General features: G+C 36.3%; 1 protein-coding gene across 9 annotated transcripts in view; it reads right to left on the bottom strand.

Moving 5' to 3' along the window:
• PDE3B (phosphodiesterase 3B) overlaps window positions 1–20,682 on the bottom strand; it is a 255,518-nt gene that overhangs the window by 22,011 nt on the left and 212,825 nt on the right. For 6 of the 9 annotated variants that reach the window (NR_190763.1, NR_190764.1, NR_190766.1 and 3 more), the window contains 2 exons: window positions 18,065–18,268; window positions 15,945–16,106 (listed from right to left, as the gene is read on the bottom strand). Coding sequence is in view for 5 of the 9 variants with exons in the window: in NM_001429700.1 (NP_001416629.1) it covers window positions 15,945–16,106; window positions 18,065–18,268 (366 nt within the window). In the remaining 4 variants the exon portion in view is untranslated. Of the gene's footprint in view, window positions 1–5,266; window positions 7,851–9,552; window positions 9,806–15,944; window positions 16,107–18,064; window positions 18,269–20,682 lie in introns of those variants that run through there. The other 3 variants (NM_001363570.2, NM_000922.4, NM_001363569.2) reach the window with 1 other exon arrangement.

The raw sequence follows: 20,682 nt of genomic DNA, 5'->3' as shown, positions 1-20,682 counted from the left end.
TTATTTTTCTAAAGATAATTATATTCAAATCCAAAAACATGCTTTAGAGACAGGGTAACTGTGTAAACTGGGACACTTGAGAGTGAATGGGGTCCTATTCATAATTATGTCAGGACAACAAGGGTAAATTATGACTGCCCTAAACAAACTGGAATGTATATTGACCCATTTATAGCTATTTTTACATCATCATTTCTTCTAAAGTTGTTATATTACAGGTACATGCTCTTGTAACATGGCTCATGAATAGTTGCAGCCTCAGAGTCAGTGCACACAATGACTTCTATTAAGAATATGGATTTAACCTTAGTTTGGACTTAGTTGTTGAACAGTTTCAAGTTTGTGTGTTATACATCAGGAGTTTGCATCTTGGATATATTCAGATGTTTCCAGTTGCAAGGGAAAGAAAATCCTTGCAAGTTCACTTAAGCAATAAAAGGGGAATTTGGAGGAAGGGTGGAAGTTTTAGGGTCCGTATGGCTTAGATGTTACATGGTGTAATCAAAGATCCTGTGTCTTTCCACCTCTGAATTTTGCCTTCCAGATGATACCAGCTTTATCTTAAGGCTAGCTCATGGAGCACATGTGCTTTGCTCACCTCCATACAGAGAAAGCAAGCTTAGATCGTTTCTGGGAGAGCGAGGGAATTTTTCAGATGCCCCCAGAAAACTGTTTTTTGTGTCCTGTAGGTTCTGAGTTATGTGCCCATCCATTAATTTAAAACTATGCTTTGTGAGTGTAATTATGGTTCACTTAGCCTGAACATATGCCTGACTACTAGAAGTAGTGATGGAGTTGGCTTCTCCCAAAATACATGTGCTACATATGGGTGGTGTAGTTATCTAAACAAAACTAGGGATAATTATGAAGAGTCAGAAGACCAACTATAGTGTCTGCCTCACTTGCTAAGCCAAGCAACTTTCCAACCTACCTTCTTGAATCTTTCTTTAATTATTTTATTTTATTTTTTCAGAGATAGTTGTCCAGGCTGGTCTTGAACTCCTGGGCTCAAGCAGTTCTCCAAGCTCAGCTTCCCAAAGTACTGGGATTACAGGTGTGAGCCGTCACATCCTGCCCCAACCTTCCTGAATCTTGACAAACATATTCAAGTTGCTCCTTAGTCTTTGTTCTTTCTTTGATACAGCAAATCTCTCATCCCAGGGCCTCCTACTTAGTGTCATATCTGCTCTAAGAGCCTAAGTTGAACTTTAAGGTAGTTTTACTAGGCAAAACAACTTAGTGAACTGAAGTAGACTATAATAAAAGTTGAGGAGGCTTTCTTTTGCTTTTGAGTACACCACTACTGCTGCTAGTACAATTTAGGAACTCCATAAATCTATGCAGAATGAAGATCATGCTATTTTCATTGCCTTGCTTCCAAGTTTGCATTTTTCCTTAATCAGGTTAATGTAAGCCTGACAAATTATAAAAGATGTAGATTCATAAACTTTTAAAGGTAGAAGGGCCTTAACTTCACTTAATGTGCTCATTTTATAGCCAAGGAAATAGAGGTTTACACAGGGGAAGTGAATTCTCTAGATCACAGCAGAGGCATGCCTTATTTCATTCCATATTCCTTTTATTCACACCCAATAATTTATCTTATGCTTTACTATTTATAAGGCTGTTTTTCATTATGCTTTCAACTCAATTATTTGGAACCAGTTAGCTGTGGTAAAAATAAAATGCTGCACTTTTGGAAAAATATAAATTAGCATGAATTAGTAAGCCATATTGGAAAAATCTATTTTTTGAAATTACATTGTAACAGATACATTGGATCTACGCAATAGGGATGCCTTCTCTCTCATCAGTCAGTGCTAAGCTACTAACTCAAATGTTAGAAATCTAATTTCTTATTCAACAAGTGAGCACACTTGTTTTTTCTCATGTATCACTGAAATAACCATTAAGGATAGGAAAAGGAATAAAGGCATTGAGAATACGGGTTGAGGGCAATGTTAGTGGATCAGATACTTTGAAATTTTAGGAGATGGAAGGTGAATGGAAAAATATAGAAAACCACAAATAAAATCATGCATAGACGAAGCCACAGGTGGAGATGGGAGCCCATTCTTCACGGGATAGCTATGGAGAAAATCGGTACATAAGGAGAGAAGTAGGTAAGGAGAACTTTTTCTAAAAGTGGAAAGAAATCAAGCAGATTTACTGGGATAAACAGCTGAACAATTTGCCCCATCTCATTTTCTCCTTCTGTTTGTGCAGCTGTAGAACTTGCCCCCAAGTGCTGAAATAAGTATAAATAAATTGGGTTCCTATGCCAAGGAGATGGTGGTGCTCCTACCTGGGATTAGTGCCCTAGATTGAGGGCTCCCTAATTTCGTCTGATTTTGAACGGTAAGTTCTCTAGCGCCTAAACTGTTAAACAGGTATGAGGACAAGTTTCAGTGAACCAAGTGATGACTGAGGAAACATCAACAAAAGGACTAGCCTTGAGCACTGAATACATTTAATTATAGAACTAAGACAATGGTGGCATAAATGTGACAATACTATCTAAATGTTTTATACTCTGATAAAAATAATGCATCTAACAAAAAATGAGAAGAGGAGAAATGGTAGAACACAGAATAAGCTCTTTGCTTTGTATAGTTAGAATTCAAAAGATACAGTTTAAAAGTGACAAGTAGTAGAAGTTTAAGAATATTTAATAGTACAATTTACAAGAGTAAAGGATAATATTGCCTTAAATTGGGTAGTGGGAAATAAGAATATGTACAAGCTAAATTTTTAATTTATAGATGAGAAGCAGATACTATAAAGAAATGGGGTCCAAAGATAGTATAACTATAGCCACTGAATCAAAGATACACACTTTCTTAAATGTTGTAATTAAAATAATGAGTTTTTAAGAAAAGAGCAAATAATATGAAGAATTAAGTCCTTACAGTCACATGAATAAATATAAATGGGCTTATCTCACCTATCAAAAAGGTGTTCATATAATATAGCATTGGATTTGATTTCAGGCTAAATCCAATGCTATATTGTTGTTGTACAGAAGAGATACTTAAAACATAGGTTAAAGGTTAAAAATAAAAGGATGGTTAAAGGCATGCCAGGAAATACAAATAAAAAGAAAGCATGAGTCATGATCTTAATAAAACAAGGCAGAATTCAAGCCAGAAAACATAAGACAAAAAAGTGCACTTTGTAATTCTAAATACTATAATTCATAAGGACTTTATAATAGTTACAATACCACACCAAGTAACAACTTTCATAAAGCATAAATTACAAGACATGCAAAAAGAAATAGGTAGAAGTACCTTAATACTGAGAGCCATGTTACCCAGGCTGGTCTCGAACTCCTGAGCTTAAGAGATCCACCCTCCTCGGCCTCCCAAAGTGCTGGGATTGCAGCGTGAACCACCACACCCAGCCAAGAATAAGGAATTTTTCTGTGTAGTGATATGGCGAGATGTCCAGGATAAATAATAGATACAGAATGCAGCAGTGTTAGCAAGCAAAAAGGGCTCATTGTCCAATGTACCAGAAGCCAATACTATGACACACAGTTTTTGAGAAAAGGAAAGCTTGATACTCAAAGTAGACTTCCAACTATTTGCTGTTGACTCCCAAATCCATACTTGTAGCCCCTATCACTTTTCTGAGTTCCATACCTACATTGAAATACATTTGGTTGTCTCAAGCCCCTTAATCTCACTTTGCTCTAATCTGAATTCATCTCTTCACTCTCTTAACACATCCAAAATCAACTCCTCTGATATACCCTATCTCAGTGAATGATATTGACAGCTGTCTAAATCAGAAATCTGGGAGCCACCCTTATTATCTTTCTTACCCCCATACCAACTCTATCTATCTTAAACCATAACTCTGTACATGTCCCTGTGGTCCACAATCTATTCCAGTCAATATCACCAAGCACTCCCTATGTCTAAATCTTGCTCTGCCGTTCTGTCAAAAGACAAAATTAACAACAAATTAGTTACAGATCTAATTGGCTTTTATTCTAGATTCATGTATCAGGTAACTTTCATTCTACAAAATAGAATGAAGTTCCCACTGGGTAATGGCAGAACAGTGGGTTTTGTAAGGATGGGAACAAAGAATAATAGAAAAATAAAAACTGATTGGTTATCATTAGGTTACTTCAGATTACATCTTCTTTGTACAGTTTAAAGCAGAGGGGACTTCCTTGATTATGCTCAGATAGAGTGGAATCTCCTGTTTTGAGGAAAAACTAGTCTGGGGATCTACCTATTTCCTTAAAGTTTCAGTTTGATTGTGTGGCATTTAGTATGAGTGACTCCATTTTGCTTTGGTCTGGTCTACTGGGGCCTAGGTGCAGGAACTCAGTCCAAAACAATAGTTTTAAACCATTCAAAATACAGCTGACCCTTGAACAACATGGGTTCGAACTCCATGGGTCCACTTATATGTGGAGTTTTTCAGTAAATTTAGTTGGCTCTGCATTGGCAGGTTCTGCATCCGCAACCAAATGCAGATGAAAATATAGTATTTGTGGGATGCGTAACCCTTGTATAGAGAGGGCCAACTTTTTGTATCTGCAGGTTCCATAGGGTTGACTGTGGGAATTGAATATGTGAAGATTTTTATAGCTGAGGAGGTCCTAGAACCAATCCCCCACATATAACAAGGGACAACTGAAGTATGCTATTTGATCCTCATAAAATGTAAATCTAATCGTGTTATTCTTCCAGATTGAAAGTTTTCCATTGGTTCCCATTTCCTTTAGGAATAAAGTTTAAGTGGCATGTCATGTTTTACAAGGCCCTTCATTAACCACCATCTCTCTACCACTCCCTCTTCTTGTGCTCTATCTTCCAGCCACCCTAAATCTCTTTTGGCTTATCCAGTGTGGGGATGCTTTCTCTTCTGGCCTCTGTACATGCTGTTATTCTCTCTCTACAAGCAATCATTTCTGAGCTAAGTCTTTAATTCTTCAGTTCTGAGTTTAAAAGTCACCTTCCTTTGAGAAGTGATTCATTTCTGCTCCACCTGCCACTCCTATCCCCTACACACTCTAGAGCAGCTTATATTAATCTGGCAACTATAATGAAGGAACCAGAGTTGTATCTATTCATCTCTTTTGTGAAGTGTGTTTCTATGAGATGATGCAATCTAGATACAGAGAATTTCTGATGACTTAAGTAAGCCAGAATCTCCAGGTTTCTTGTAAAAATAAGTAGAAAAAGCCAATAGCACCAACAAAGTAAGTAATGAAATAATAGCAGGAAACAGCTTTCAAATCATGAAGTAATTTTTAAAAGTACTTTTATGGAGAAAAATGTGTCAGTAGGTACATAGATATAGCATTAAAAGAATATTTCTAGTACCAGCGGCTTTAAAAATAGAAAATTTATGATGAAAATTATTATAACAAGAAATTAATCTGATTCAGTAACAAAGTAAGATCTGTAATATGGCTTATGGCAATTTCTCAAGTAAGATTTCATCTAATGGTACAGTGTGCATTTAATATATTCTCACATTCTTTCTTACACTTACGAATTTTTAAGTTTCAGCTCGGGAGAGATACTTTTTTGGGTTTCTTTAGGCTAGTTATTGTTACATATGTCAATTACTTAGCAAGGGTTAAATAATTTAAGGACTATATTATGTAAAAATGAGTTTCCAGTAGTAATTGGATTTATAATTAAATCCAATAAGTCCAGTATTCGTAATTTAAAATGCTGCTTTTGAGAAAACAACATAAACTAAAGAAACCCAATATAAAACCCAATAAAATAACAGACAGTATGGAAATGTGATTCAATCTCAATATGCATGCTTGTACATGTATGACTTTATACACATACACTTGTATGTATTCTGCAGGAGAGGAAATAATAGCAGAAATACACTTAAACATGATGGAAAATGTACTCTAGAGAAATATAAGGACAGGATATATATATTGTAAGTGCAAATATAAATTATCAGTCAAAATTTTATTAGTAATAAGTGGTGGGACTGGTTTACACATAGTGTGTGACAATGGTAACAAAAGTGGCAGCAAGGAACTCAGCACTCACTCAACACGTCTAATAAATAAAGCTTAGTGATTCATTAAATATTGACACTGTGAAGGATCAAAAATTCTAACACTTCCAGAGATCTTAAATTGATATCTTTCAGATAAGCCAAATATTCTAGATAAGTAAGAAACTGCATGCCAATACCATATTCTAAAGGAATTACCTTGGAAAATTAATGGTTTCACTGTGTGCAAAATTGCATGATTCCAAAATATGATATGTTCTCCAATAATAATAGAAAATATTAGCCTACCATTTTGCCATCATTTTGGCTGCTCTTTATATCTTCAAATGTATTTCACAAGTAGGGTACATATCCACACACTAGCAAGTTTACAAAACATTGTAAATATGGTCCATTTTCTTGCAATTATTTTAATAATGTGGTTATTTAATAATGTACTTTTGTATGAAATGATTTATTAACACATTTAGATTTTTATATGAAAAATAAGTATTCCAGTTCTTTACTTGTTCTCAGAAATCAGTCTTGCAGTTAGGCTTCAGAAATAATAAGTAGTGATAGGTCATTTCTGTCATGTAGTCTTTAGGCAGAGGGAAATTAACAGAAAGATGAACATCAGTTTTAGAGTGAACAAATGACAGCTAAGATGTGGATCTAAAGATAACCACATGTTCCAATTATTTATTCAATGTATGTGTCCTTTAGGGCTCACTATATTTCTTTTTTTCTGTATCTTTGATGAGGTTAGTTTTGGTATTACAGCAAATTTTTTTTCTTCTAACAAATCTGTGCTGTGTTCATATTAACTAAATCTTTAAAAATACGAATCCTGAGCTAGAGTAAAAACAACAATTTTGACTAAAGAATAAATCCCTTCATTGTTAAACCTAAACAGCTTTAAAATTCAGCCATGGAACATAAGATAAGACTGGAATTCAAACTTCTGATGTCCATGGCAAACCTGAATACTCTCAGCAGAAATAAAACACACATAGTAGATAATACACAATAGTAAAAAGCATCAGAAATTGATGCACCTGGATTTTGTTAAATACAACAAAGGTCACTCAGTCCTTCATGGATAAACCTAGCTGGGAGAATAGCACTGAACAGTGTATTGCATTGAGCAGAAATCCCTCAGAAAGGCAACACTGGATTCATTTTTAGACAGGCATAGACTTTTCTCCAAAACATTCAAAGACATAAAAGACACACTGGGAAATACAATATGAATCTATTTTCATAAAAGCAAAAAGTTCCTGGCCACTTTGGTAACTGAAATATGTCACTTGAGTTTTTAGTTATAGCTGACCCCCAGTGAAAAATAAGAGCTCACTACCCAGCAAAGCAGCATTATGACAAAGTATTCATACACCAGTGAAGGATTTAAGTAAGGGCTCTGCAACATGGGTCAACACGGATGGTATTTTTGGTTTAAGAATAGTTTTCTAGTTCCTGTGAAAGTGCATAGGAGTGGGAAACTGCCAGCAGAGCAAGGATCCTCTCACAGTATTAAGGCCTGTCCACATGGGAATGGTCAGTTGAGAGTCAGCCGGTGAACACTAGGCAATGATTTCTGCCCCTGGGCACAACCCTCTGGGCTTCTTCAATATGACTTTTCTTTTACTCAAACTGTCGCTATTCCTCTTCATCTGCCTCTTCAATTACCTGAATCTCATCTGCTTGAGGTAAGGAGGAATTCTCCACCTGCAGTTTATTCCCATCAGCTTTACATTTTTCTTCTTCCTCTACGATTTCCTTCCATATCTTGTGGTTTTCAGTGAGGTGGTGCATTAGCTGACAAAATATTCGCCGTCTGCTTTTCCTTCTTGGTGGTTCTGTGAAATTTAAAATAAATATATTCTAATCATAGCAATATGATTTAATCATTCAACAAATATTAAGTGCCTATTCTAGGTATCTAAGCACTGGGAGTATAAAAGTAAACAGTACTATAAAATAATAGTATAATAAAAATAATATAATGAAATAGTACTATAAAAATAATCCCTGCGTTATGGTGTTCAGATTCTAGTGGAAAGAGCTAGGAAAACAGAAAGAAGCAAAACAGGAATATGTTAGATGGTATTGTTACGGATAAAAACAAAATAGAGAAGAGGTTTAGGGAAAACTGGCTGGGTATGGTGGAGAGGGAAGAAGCGTGCTGAAATTTCAAATGAAAATAACCCAAAGTTAAAAACCAACCTTTAAGGGCATTCTTATGTATTGAATTAAACACAATTACCAACATTTTGATGAGTACAATTTTTTTTTTTTTGAGACGGAGTCTTGCTCTGTCGCCCAGGCTGGAGTGCAGTGGCACGATCTCAGCTCACTGGAACCTCCGCCTCATGGGTTCACTCCATTCTCCTGCCTCAGCCTCCCTAGTAGCTGGGACTACAGGCGCCTGCCACCATTTCCAGCATATTTTTGTATTTTTAGTAGAGATGGGGGAGTATAATTTTTAGAAGTCAGTCAACCTTCAGATGCTAATGCCATTTTTTTAAAAAAAGAATTTTAAATACATTTTAATAGGATTTGCCATGCTAATCCTAAATACAAGGCATGTGTGTGTTGCAGTGGGAGGTTCTTTGTAGTTTTCCTGTCTGGTCTGATTTATTGCATGCTTGAAAATCAAAACAATACTTATGTAGGTATAATTTAAATTCTACTTTAAAATGAGCAAATAACTGATTTCATTCACAATTACAAAGTGATAATTTTCATTTCATTTTCCATTTATACTAATTGTCTTATACAGGAAAGTATGTCATTACAGTTTGGTAACTCAAATTCATAATGCCACAAAATTGGCTCTCCCTCTACAGCCAGGGAATGTATGTTTTCCTTCCCCCCTCCCCCCCACTGTTTTGATCTACTTCTCAAGTCTATGTGAACAGCAGATTAGTAGGCTGCTATGGAAGTTGTGCTCCTCAGCTGCCTAGTGGGATTGGGGGTGAGATGTGTGAAAAGGAGTGACATGAAGGAGGACTTGCCATGAGGATCCACCTCACATATGTTCAGATGTGGTGATGGCCCTATCGTGCATGCACAGGTACTGTGAAGAGTACTGGCTGGAGGACAACACCTCAAGAGATGTTACTTTAATTAAATAAGAATAAGAATGCTTGTTGTATGACAGTATTCACCCAGTACCCGGCATATAGAAGTTACTCAAAACATGACTGTTGAATCTGAACATTTAGATAGTGGTTACTCAATGTAATGACTGCTGAATCTGTATCTGAGAAACAAAGTTCCAAATCTAAGTTAAATGGATATATGCAGTTATTAAAGGTTGAATATCCCTATTCAAAATGCTTGAGACCAGAGGGGTTTCTGATTTTGGAATATTTGCATTATATTTAGCACCCCTAATTGAAAAATCTGAAATCCAAGTGTCCCAATGAATATTTCCTTTGAGCACCATGCTGGCACTCAAAAAATTTTGGATTTTGGAGCATTTCATATTTCAGATTTTCAGACTTGGAATACTCAACCTATAACATTAAATAAATTATAATGTCCCTATATTCTTACTTGGATTTAGATTGTTTTCCATTTCTTCATCTTCTGTATCTAATTCTTCACCGTCTTCATCATCACCACTTTCAGTATCATTATCCTCTTCTGCTTCTAACCACTGACCTGGTAGCAAACCAGCAGCATCATAGGAGTTACACAGGGGACCCACTATGTGGGTGATAAAAGATTCTTGGAGTTTTGCTAGTTGAGGAGAAGAACGATCCATGAATGGACTGATGGGCAGACCAAGATTTGCTTCTTCATCTCCCTGCATATTTTAAAAAGAAAAGTACATTTTTAACTGGTGAAAGAACCACCACTGAGCTTTGCTGTTAAAATTATCTTGAGTTTTTTTAAAATAAACAATCTATATCAAAATATTTTTTATGAATAAGCATCAATCTATCATTTCAACTGTAAGAATTTAACATTGAGAAATCCTAAACAAAACTTTATTCTCACATTCTGTTCACATCAACCAATATGGCTGATACTCAGTTAATAAGAAACATACAGATCTATTAAAATAAGTATCAGATATTTTACTGACAAACTGCAAAATTCCATAGTGTCAATTATGGATTCTCTTTATCTAGGGGCAAAAGCATAATAGAAACATTTTTGTTGTAGTTATATCTCAAATGTACAGAGCTGAATTTTGCAAGTGCTTTTCAATAACACTACCTCCACCCCCTTTTTTTTTTTTTTTAACAGCAGAACTCTCTAATGATTCAAAATCAGAAAACCTAATATGAAAAACAAATAAAGTAGAGCTACCACGATTGAGGTGAGGATCCTGGGGCTAGATCCCCAACGGCCTGCCTTCTGGTACTCTCCCACTGTGGCTTCTAGGGCTTAATTTGAGATCAGACTACTACCTGTGTGGTGTTGGGCAAGCTCTATGTACAAATGCACTGTGTGTAAAATCTGAATAATAATCTACCTAATAGGGATGCTATGATGAGGTTAAAGGAAATATTAATATAAAGTGTTTAGCAAGTACTGAGCATTCTCCAAATGGTACTATTAACATTTTAGTCCTAGTGTCTGAACTGGTTTGGGATAAATTACTCCCCACAATGTACAAATTCTGCAGGTAAGGAGTGTCTGTTCTGTAATGAGCCAACATAACTCTGAGGAAACAACCAGAAACTGTCCCCGTGATTAACTGTCCCATGATTAGAAATCTTTTACGAGATTATTGTCTATGAGGAAGAAAACAATTGATATTTTTCCAAAAACAGTTGGGTTTATCTATAGGACTCTGTAATTTCACAGATATAACCCAGGAGTTTGGCTTTTCTAAGTCCATGGCAGTTAAATGGCTGTAGGCATCTAAAGACAGTATAATTAGTATAATAAAAAAAAAGTTGGGCATGGTTAGAATTTTACATCAATATCTGAAGAAAGTTTAATAGCATAACCAGAATGAGAAAGAAGTTTAGTTCTGATGAGGGATGATTAAAACTTTCATAAGTGGGAGGATATCAGATGACATTTTCCTGCTTTGATATTGAATAATGACACTTAGATTAAGTGAAACTCTCTGAGATAACATATTGTTTTTAGTGATATATATGAAATTATAATAGTTAACATTTATTGAGCACTTATGTATCAGAAACTATTCTAAGAAGTCTACATATATTAGTTCATTTAATCCTCACAGAAACCTTATGAGGTAGGTACCATCATTCCTATTTTATCAATGAGGAAACTGGCACAGAGAGGTTAAGTAACTTACCCAACCAAGGTCGTATTGGAGATAAGGAAGAGAAGCCAGGATTCAACCTCAGGCATGGCTTCCAGGTTTGCTTAATAAGTATTAATTCTATATGCTTTTAAAATGATATGCGGGACCTAAATGAATATTTCTAATGTTCTCTCACTGAACTAGTGAATTTTCTAAAATTTACATACACTATTATTTTTTATTACCCATTTGTACATATAATATAAAGATAACATTTTCCCTAGCATAAAATTCCTCTTTTGTAAACATGAGATCCATGGGCGAGCTCTAAAGCAAGTTTCAATTATCACTGAGAATGAGAATATGCAAACTGCATAGTATAATCTTACAAATTAGGTAAATATAGCCATTTACTACCCGAAATTAAATATAATTTAAATAGATAATAGTAAAATATTAATAATCTTTCCATGATTATACAGTACGGCATTTTGTAACTTATAAACAGCAGAGTATACATTATTGTGTTGGGATGTTTAGCTGGTGGGTGTAAAACATTGCACATTTTCAATACAATCTGGAAGTAACAAAGTATACCAGGTGCATGGTTATATAGGCTCAATTACTCCCACTTTCCACTCATGTTAAGAAAGCCCTCACCTAGTAGATATGTTGACCTTTCCTGATAATTAGGGCCAACAAGGATTCCTAAGGAATGTAATTCCAAAGCCAAAAAGGTGTAGTTGCTATTTTGGAGATAACAAAATGTTAGGCATGTCAGGAAATCAGTGCACTCCTACATTGTAGGAAGCCTCAAAACGGGACCCCAAAAAATGGCAGATTCAGCAAAGTGGAAAGATTATTTTAATGCCAAAAATTTTATAGTATTCTCTGATAGTAGTTTGTATTTCTGTGGGATCAGTGGTGATTTCCCCTTTATCATTTTTTATTGTGTCTATTTGATTCTTCTCTCTTTTCTTTATTAGTCTAGCTAGTGGTCTATTTTGTTAATCTTTTCAAAAAACCAGCTCCTGGATTCATTGATTTTTTTGAAGGGTTTTCTGTGTCTCTATCTCCTTCAGTTCTGCTCTGATCTTAGTTATTTCTTGTCTTCTGCTAGCTTTTGAATTTGTTTGCTCTTGCTTCTCTAGTTCTTTTAATTGTGACGTTAGGGTGTCGATTTTAGATCTTTCCTGCTTTCTCCTGTGGGCATTTTAGTGCTATAAATTTCCCTCTAAACACTGCTTTAGCTGTGTCCCAGAGATTCTGGTACATTGTGTCTATTTATTTCTGCCTTAATTTCATTATTTACCTGGTAGTCATTCAGGAGCAGGTTGTTCCGTTTCCATGTCATTGTGCCTTAATTTCGTTATTTACCCAGTAGTCATTCAGGAGCAAGTTGTTCAGTTTCCATGTCATTGTGCAGTTTTGAGTGAGTTTCCTAATCCTGAGTTCTAATTTGATTGCACTGTGGTCTGAGAGACTGTTTATGATTTCCATTCTTTTACATTTGCTGAGGAGTGTTTTACTTCCAATTATGTGGTCAATTTTAGAACAAGTGCGATGTGGTGCTGAGAAGAATGTATATTCTGTTGATTTGGGGTGGAGAGTTCTGTAGATGTCTATTAGGTCCACTTGGTCCAGAGCTGAGTTCAAGTCCTGAATATCCTTGTTAATTTTCTGTCTTGATCTGTCTAATATTGACAGTGGGGTGTTAAAATCTCCCACTATTATTTTGTGGGAGTCTGAGTCTCCTTGTAGGTCTCTAAAAACTTGCTTTATGAATCTGGGTGCTCCTGTATTGGGTGCATATATATTTAGGATAGTTAGCTGTTCTTGATGCATTGATCTCTTTACCATTATTTAATGCCCTTCTTGGTCTTTTTCTGTCTGTGTTGGTTTAAAGTCTGTTTCATCAGAGACTAGGATTGCAACCCCTGCTTTTTTTTCGCTTTCCATTTGCTGGGTAAATCTTTCTCCATCCCTTTATTTTGAGCCTATGTGTGTCTGCACGTGAGATGGGTCTCCTGAATACAGCACACTGATGGGTCTTAACTCTTTATCCAATTTGCCAGTCTGTGCCTTTTAATTGGGGCATTTAGCCCATTTACATTTAAGGCTAATACTGTTATGTATGAATTTGATCCTGTCATTATGATGCTAGCAGGTTAATTTTGCCCGTTAGTTGATGTGGTTTCTTCATAGTGTCCATGGTCTTTACAATTTGGTATGTTTTTGAGGTGGCTGTTATCGGTTTTTCCTTTCCATATTTAGTGTGTCCTTCAGGAGTTCTTGTAAGGCAGGCCTGGTGGTGACAAAATCTCTCAGTATTTGCTTGCGTGTAAAGGATTTTATTTCTCTTTCGCTTATGAAGCTTAATTTGGCTGGACATGAAATTCTGGGTTGAGAATTCTTTTCCTTAAGAATGTTGAATATTGGCCCCCACTCTCTTCTGGCTTGTAGGGTTTCTGCAGAGAGATCCACTGGTAGTCTGATGGGCTTCCCTTTGTGAGTAACCCAACCTTTCTCTCTGGCTGCCCTTAACATTTTTTCCTTCATTTCAACCCTGGGGAATCCAATGATTATGCATCGTGGGACATTTATGTAGCCAACAAACATATGAAAAAAGCTCATCATCAGTAGTCATTAGAGAAATGCAAATAAAAACCACAATGGGATAACCTCTTATGCCAGTTGGAATGGCGATCATTAGAACGTCAGGAAACAACAGATGCTGGAGAGGATGTGGAGAAATAGGAATGCTTTTCAAAGACTTGGAACTAACCCAAATGCCCATTAATGATAGACTGGATAAAGAAAATGTGGCACATATATACCATGGAATACTATGCAGTTATAAAAAAGGATGAGTTCATGTCCTTTGCAGGAACATAGATGAAGCTGGAAACCATCATTCTCAGCAAAAACAGAAACAGAAAACCAAATACCGCATGTTCTCACTCATAAGTGGGAGTTGAACAATGAGAACACGTGGACACAGGGAGGGGAATATCACACATGGGGGCCTGTTAGGGGGTAGGGGGCTAGAGGAGGGATAGCATTAGGAGAAATACCTAATGTAGATGACAGGTTGATGGGTGCAGCAAACCACCATGGCACGTGTATACCTATATAACAAAACTGCACCTTCTGCACATGTGTCCCAGAACTTAAAGAATAATTTAAAAAAAAATTAAAGATTTAAGAACAGCCGGGCACAGTGGCTTATGTCTGTAATCCCAACACTTTGGGAGGCCGAGGTGGGCGGATCACAAGGTCAGGAGTTCGAGACCAGCCTGACCAACATGGTGAAACCCCATCTCTACTAAAAATACAAAAATTAGCCAGGCATGGTGGCGTGCACCTGTAATCCCAGCTACTCAGGAGGCTGAAGCAAGAGAATTGCTTGAACCCAGGTGGCAGAGGTTGCAGTGAGCCGAGATCGCGCCACTGCACTACAGCCTGGGCAACAGAGAAAGCCTCTGTCTCAAAAAAAGATTTAAGAACAAAAGAGCCTGCTTATATCTTTGAATCCTTGAGAACCACTAAGTGTCTATTCTCTCCATTTTGTAGCCCTCTGTCCGGATTTCTTCCCAGTTGATGTTCCTACTGCAGGGAGTTAGTCTTTTTATAGCAGAATTGAAAATGGATTGATATTCTTTAAATATATTCTGAGCACACCCTGAATAACTTAAAAACCACTTCATCTGGAAATAAATTCTTCTAGGTTACAGAATCTCAGGGTTGAAAGAGACCTTGGAATCATAATGTAGTCTAGACTTGTTATAGAAAGTAGTCAGGCAGACATGGGCAGAGCAGGAGAGGGCCCACCCCCAACCCCATCAGAAATGTCAGGTGACCATCAGGTGATAGGTTAAGCTGTCTCTCTAAAATAATAATTGGTCACAGCTGGCACCAGGGAAAGGCAGTCACCCAACAGAAACTGGTGATCAGCAGCTTCCTGGTAAGATCTCAGGAGGTGGGTGAGTGGGCTCAAGCATGTGCACTAAGAGGCAAAATGGTGGAGTTTAATTGGTATATGACCTTCTTCCATGAACACTGGGCTGGTAAGGGAAAAATGCCTCAAGTGAGCATGAGTACAATTTCAGTAAACACACTGTGTATGTGGCCCCTCCCAAGTGCTGGCAGGTCACTGCACATGTGACAGCCACCTCAAAGGATGAATTGGGAGAAGTAACACAACCCTGGAAGCATGCCAATGTATAAGACTCCAAGTCAAAGGTCAAACCATGCACTTGATCTCTTAGGTTGCCCGCCTGGCCTTCTTCCAAGTGTACTTTACTTCCTTTCATTCTTGCTCTAAAGCTTTTAAATAAACTTTCACTTCTGATCTAAAACTTGGTTCAGTCTCTCCCTCTGCCTTATGCCCCTCAGTTGAATTCTTTCTTCTGAGGGGGCAAGAATTGAGGTTGCTGCAAACTCGGATTTGCGGCTGCTAACAGCCTTACCTGTAGACTCATGAGTATATTCAGCTCAGTCAAGATAGGGAATAAGTTATTTTTTAAAATTTTAACAGCAAAGGCAAACAGAACACAGAAAATACTAAGAACCAAAGCAAATGCAACAATTTTTAACCCTTCCCAGTCAAAGCAACTCAGATTTCAAACACTTAATAAAGCTATCCAAAACCCAAAGAGTAGTGTCTTCTCATGACAGCTCTTAAAAATCCCACCAAGCTCAGGTTTCAACTTACCTGCTCATAAAATTCATTGACAATGCCTTCTGTCCATTTCAAATGCAAGTCTCGAACTTTTGCTGGGCCATTTATATCTGCCAGTTTGATGCACACCTGGCATACCAAGAGGCGATCATTTTCATTACTCCATTCTATGCCATTACTATTTACATCATTTGCCTATTTTGGAAAAACAACATCATTTTAGGTTCTGAAGGCATTTTTAAAACTTGTTGTTTTGTTTGCTTTTACCAAATTATCTTAAAACTGTTTCCTGTCTAAATGACAGAAAGAAATTTCAGCAAATAGTTCTTTTTAAAATCAGCTTATTCCATAATATGGACCTCTATTGGTTAAATTTCCTTTCTAAAAAATGCTTTCTAGCAAAACATATAACTAACCATGGGTTTCAATATTTGTGATTACCACAAAGAATCATGAATTATATGTGTGTGTGTGTGTGTATATATATATATATGTATTTATTAAGTATAGTACATACACAATATCAAAAAATCATATAAGAATTATAACTACTTATTTCTACCTCAAAAAAGAACACTTAAGAAGCTAGAGAAGTTTGCCCTTGCTGTGAAAGGCAACATGATATAGTGAACTGAACACAAGTCTGAGAAGCTGGCCCTATAGTTTTAAATCCTGACTCAGAATGTCATGAATCAGCAAGTTGTATTCTGAATCAAAAATTCAGTGTGTAACAGTGAAAAAACTGCTTAACCTATTCGAATCTAACTTTCTTCATCTATGAAGTAGGAAAAGTAGTACCAATCTAGCCATGCTGCTATGAGGATTAATAAATGAAAAAATGCCTTGTTCACGGAAAATGTTAAATATTGTTATTTAAATAAATGATAATTATTAGCTGAAAAAAAGCCTTTCAAGAACTAAAATTTCATTTTGTAAAAAATGAAAAGAATGAGCCACATCATAGCTTTTGAACTTCAGTGTGATGGTTGCTTTTTGGCACCAAACTCTTTCAGAAAAAAAAAAATATATATGTAGAACACCACCATAGAAAACACTTGAGAGAAGAGCTCTTTTGATTGAAACTTAATAGGAAGTCTAGAGCCCCATTCATATGGCATTTTTTTGAGAGACTTCAAAATAGAAGTCTTTAAGGAATACACATTCAAAGTATTGTATTAGATAATCTTTTACCTATAAAAGGTGACTTAAGCACTTAAATGAATTTTATTTAAAAATTAAAGTGAATAAGACTATACAACTATGAAATAATTTTAAAGGTACCCTTACTTCTCACTGATTTTTATAAGCATTTCATTAATGTCATGACAGCAACATATATAAGGGTCTCCTTCCAGCAGGTCTAATCTAGTACTCCTTTGTTACCAGTTTCTCTACCCTGCAGGTACAGCTTCTTTTAGGTCACAAAAGTCATCAAGAAAATAGCAGCTTCCTGCAAGCCAGGGTGGGAATCTAAAGCAGTGGTTCTCAACTTTTTTCACCTCAAATGTCTGAGGGATAAAGCATAGTCCCATGAGTACCACCGTCATACTGGGGCAGTGATTCTTGATCCCCTGGTGAATATGAGTTCTTTGGCCTAGTACAATGTCTGTACATAGTGGGCAATCCCAATAAATACTTGTTGAATGAATGAATTATTCTCAAGTAGAAGAGGGTGCTTCCTTTTCCCTAAACTAGCCAGCTAAAGAATCACTAATATAAAGAAGGTATAACAGGTGCAGTGAGGTAGACATAATTAACTGGATTCTTAAGAAACACATAAAGTTAATTTTATATAATGCCTTACTTGACACTGAGCATGGCTTTGTCAAATCTCTCTTTAAACTCATTTGAAATAACTGGTTTGTTTCTAATAACTGGTTTGTTTCTATGTGAAAAATATGTGAAATAAAGTCACAATAGTATAAGTTTATGTGTCGAAAGAAAATATAACAAGCAATAATATTTTAGGAAATGTTACCATAACAATAAAAATGTTTATTTTTAAAAATATAGGCATATATATTATTTTATATCAACTATTTATTGTTACTTCCTAAGTAGTAATAATTCTAACTTAACATTAAAAAACATATTTTATCAGTAACACTGACAATAAAGATTTTTTAAATCAGGCACTAATTTTCATAACAAACCTTGGCATTGAATTCTGCGAGAAAATCAAAATGCTTTTTAAGATCCGTAGCAAGGATTGCTTCAATGACTAAAAAACGAAAGCGCTTGAATTCCACATGATCAAGATGAAGAAGGAAGTTGTATTCTGGGCGAGAAAGATATAGATTCCAAGCTGACGCAGCATGATGATTTTCCAGAACAGATCTGTCATTGTATAAAACTGCCTAAAAAGAAATATAGAAAAATGAGGCAGACACCTCAAAGATATTAAAGTTTAATATCTTTAATATCAGGTTGGAAGTATACAAACAATGAATACCTACTATATACTAGGCATTTTACCAGGTATTTTAGTACCTGTGAAAATAGGTTGTGATAATTTTATAAATGAGTAGACTGAAGTACAAAGAGGTTAAGATACACCTTTCCTTCCAACATACATAGCTCTAGTAAGTGAAAGGGTTATATATCTTTAAAGTTTATCTTTGCAGACACCGTGCTGCCTCCCAAGAGATGTAAAGTTGATACTTTGAGGTCTATTTCATTTAATCAGAAAACCTTCTCAGATAAACTTCTGTGAATAAAGTCATTAGGGATCTAGAGCAGGTTTCAGAATACATTTCTGTTGTTTAGTCATTCTGGAGTCAATGGTGATGGTGACTAAAGAAGAGGAAGCAGTACTGTCCAGGGTAAGTAAGAGACCTGCCTGTCTGAGATGGACATATCCTGGATTCCCATCCTCACACAGGGCCTGGGAGTAAAACAGAACTATGTAACAGATAAAAACACAAATCCTCTGGTTCAAATGGTGTGGAACTACTCACTTTTTCTACACTTCACTCCAGCAGAAGACCCTGAGGTGCCTCCTCAGTACTCTAGGACTTTGGAATACAGACTTAAAATCAGTGGAGTATAGAATTTCTAAAGCCTCTTCCACCTCTACAAATTAAGCAATTCTTTAAATTATTAAATAAGCATAGTAATTATTAAAAAAACTTCTACAGCCAAGTTGTGTTAAAGGCCAGGGATAAAAATTAAAACCCTATCCCTGTTTTCATGGAGCCTACTGTGTAATGAGAAAGAAGGACGGAATGAGATCTCAGGTAGGATACATATTCTGAGAGCTTAATTGAATAGCTCTACTTATTTGTGAAAATTAGCTATAGCCTAGATTTAAGCACAGATGCATAACACTAAGTGATTATTTTTTAAGCTATTTGGTTTTATAAAAGCAATGGTATGATTTAAACTTTGCAATGAGCCATATAAAGGCATTTCATACCACCTGTAATACAACTTCTAAACATTATAAATACCAAACAGAAAGAGTAAGCTTCGAAAACTCCCTAAGGGGTCATTTACATTTAATAATGATTTGACTAATTCATGCTCAAATGTGACAAGGACTTAACTATGAGAACAGCTCTGTCTGTTCAGGAGGAAGTAATCTGATTCTGGGCTCAATACAACACAATGTACAATGAATGCCCTGTGAAGCTAGCTGACTTAATAAACTTACAGATAGCAAGATCAGTTTTTTAAAAAAATGAGCAAGTTCGGAATTCTTTCACCATTCAAATTACCCTTTGAAATTGCCAAAGAAATATAAAATGGGCGGAGGGGGGAAGGTCTGAATCAGTATTAGAATCTAGATATAATGACCATACTGGAAACTTCAAAGACATGGTGAAAATGAGAATGGATTGAGAAAAGCTAACCAAGTCACTGCATAAGAAGGAAAAAGCCTATATGAAGAGTAAGTGGAAGGGGTTCCCTGCTGATCCCCAGTAGACTCACAAGCTCAAAGATGAGTGGGAGGCAAGAAAGAATCATGAAGCAGTAAGTAGGAAGCAAATGTCAATGCTACTTTAGAAGAATACTTGAAGGTAGCACACAGAGCAGCAGACCAAGCTTAAACCAAATAAGAAAAACATTTCAAGCAAACAGATAATGAAGCCTCAGCTCTTACTGCGGGCTCTTAGAAGCAGAGAAAAAAGACAGGGTCCCAGCTCATTTGGAGCTGCAATAAACTAACATCCTTTGACTTTGTGCTAAAGCATCTTGTTACCTGCTTTTTCTAGCTATAGATCCTTCTCTCTACAGCAAATACATCAATACTTTGGCAAAACAAATTAGTTGGTCATAAATCTTACTTTTCACCCTCTGAGTTGGAAAGATCTGAGAAGGGGTTTAATACAAACTGACAGAATCTTAGCAAATAGTAACACTTAAATAAGAACAAAAAGAGAAAACCCTTCAGACATAAGAAGGACTTAGATCATACAAAGGATAAGTCTGACTAATCTGAACAAATGTCCCCTTTTAAAACATAAGAAACAGGAGGAAACATTAACAAAAATCTAGGTCATAGCCATTATCTCATGACTAAGAAGGCACTTTTTTTTTTTTTTTTGAGATGGACTCTCGTTCTGTTGCCCAGGCTAGAGTGCAGTGGCGCGATCTCAGCTCACTGCAAGCTCTGCCTCCTGGGTTCAAGCCGTTCTCCTGCCTCAGCCTCCCGAGTAGCTGGGACTACGGGTGCCCGCCACCACGCCCAGCTAATTTTCTGTGTTTTTTAGTAGAGTCGGGGTTTCACCATGTTACCAGGATAGTCTCTATCTCCTGACCTCGTGATCTG

This window comes from Homo sapiens, chromosome 11 (assembly GCF_000001405.40).
Source record: "Homo sapiens chromosome 11, GRCh38.p14 Primary Assembly".
Classification (NCBI taxonomy): Eukaryota; Metazoa; Chordata; class Mammalia; order Primates; family Hominidae; genus Homo; species Homo sapiens.
This window is presented reverse-complemented; position numbering and strand designations above follow the sequence as displayed.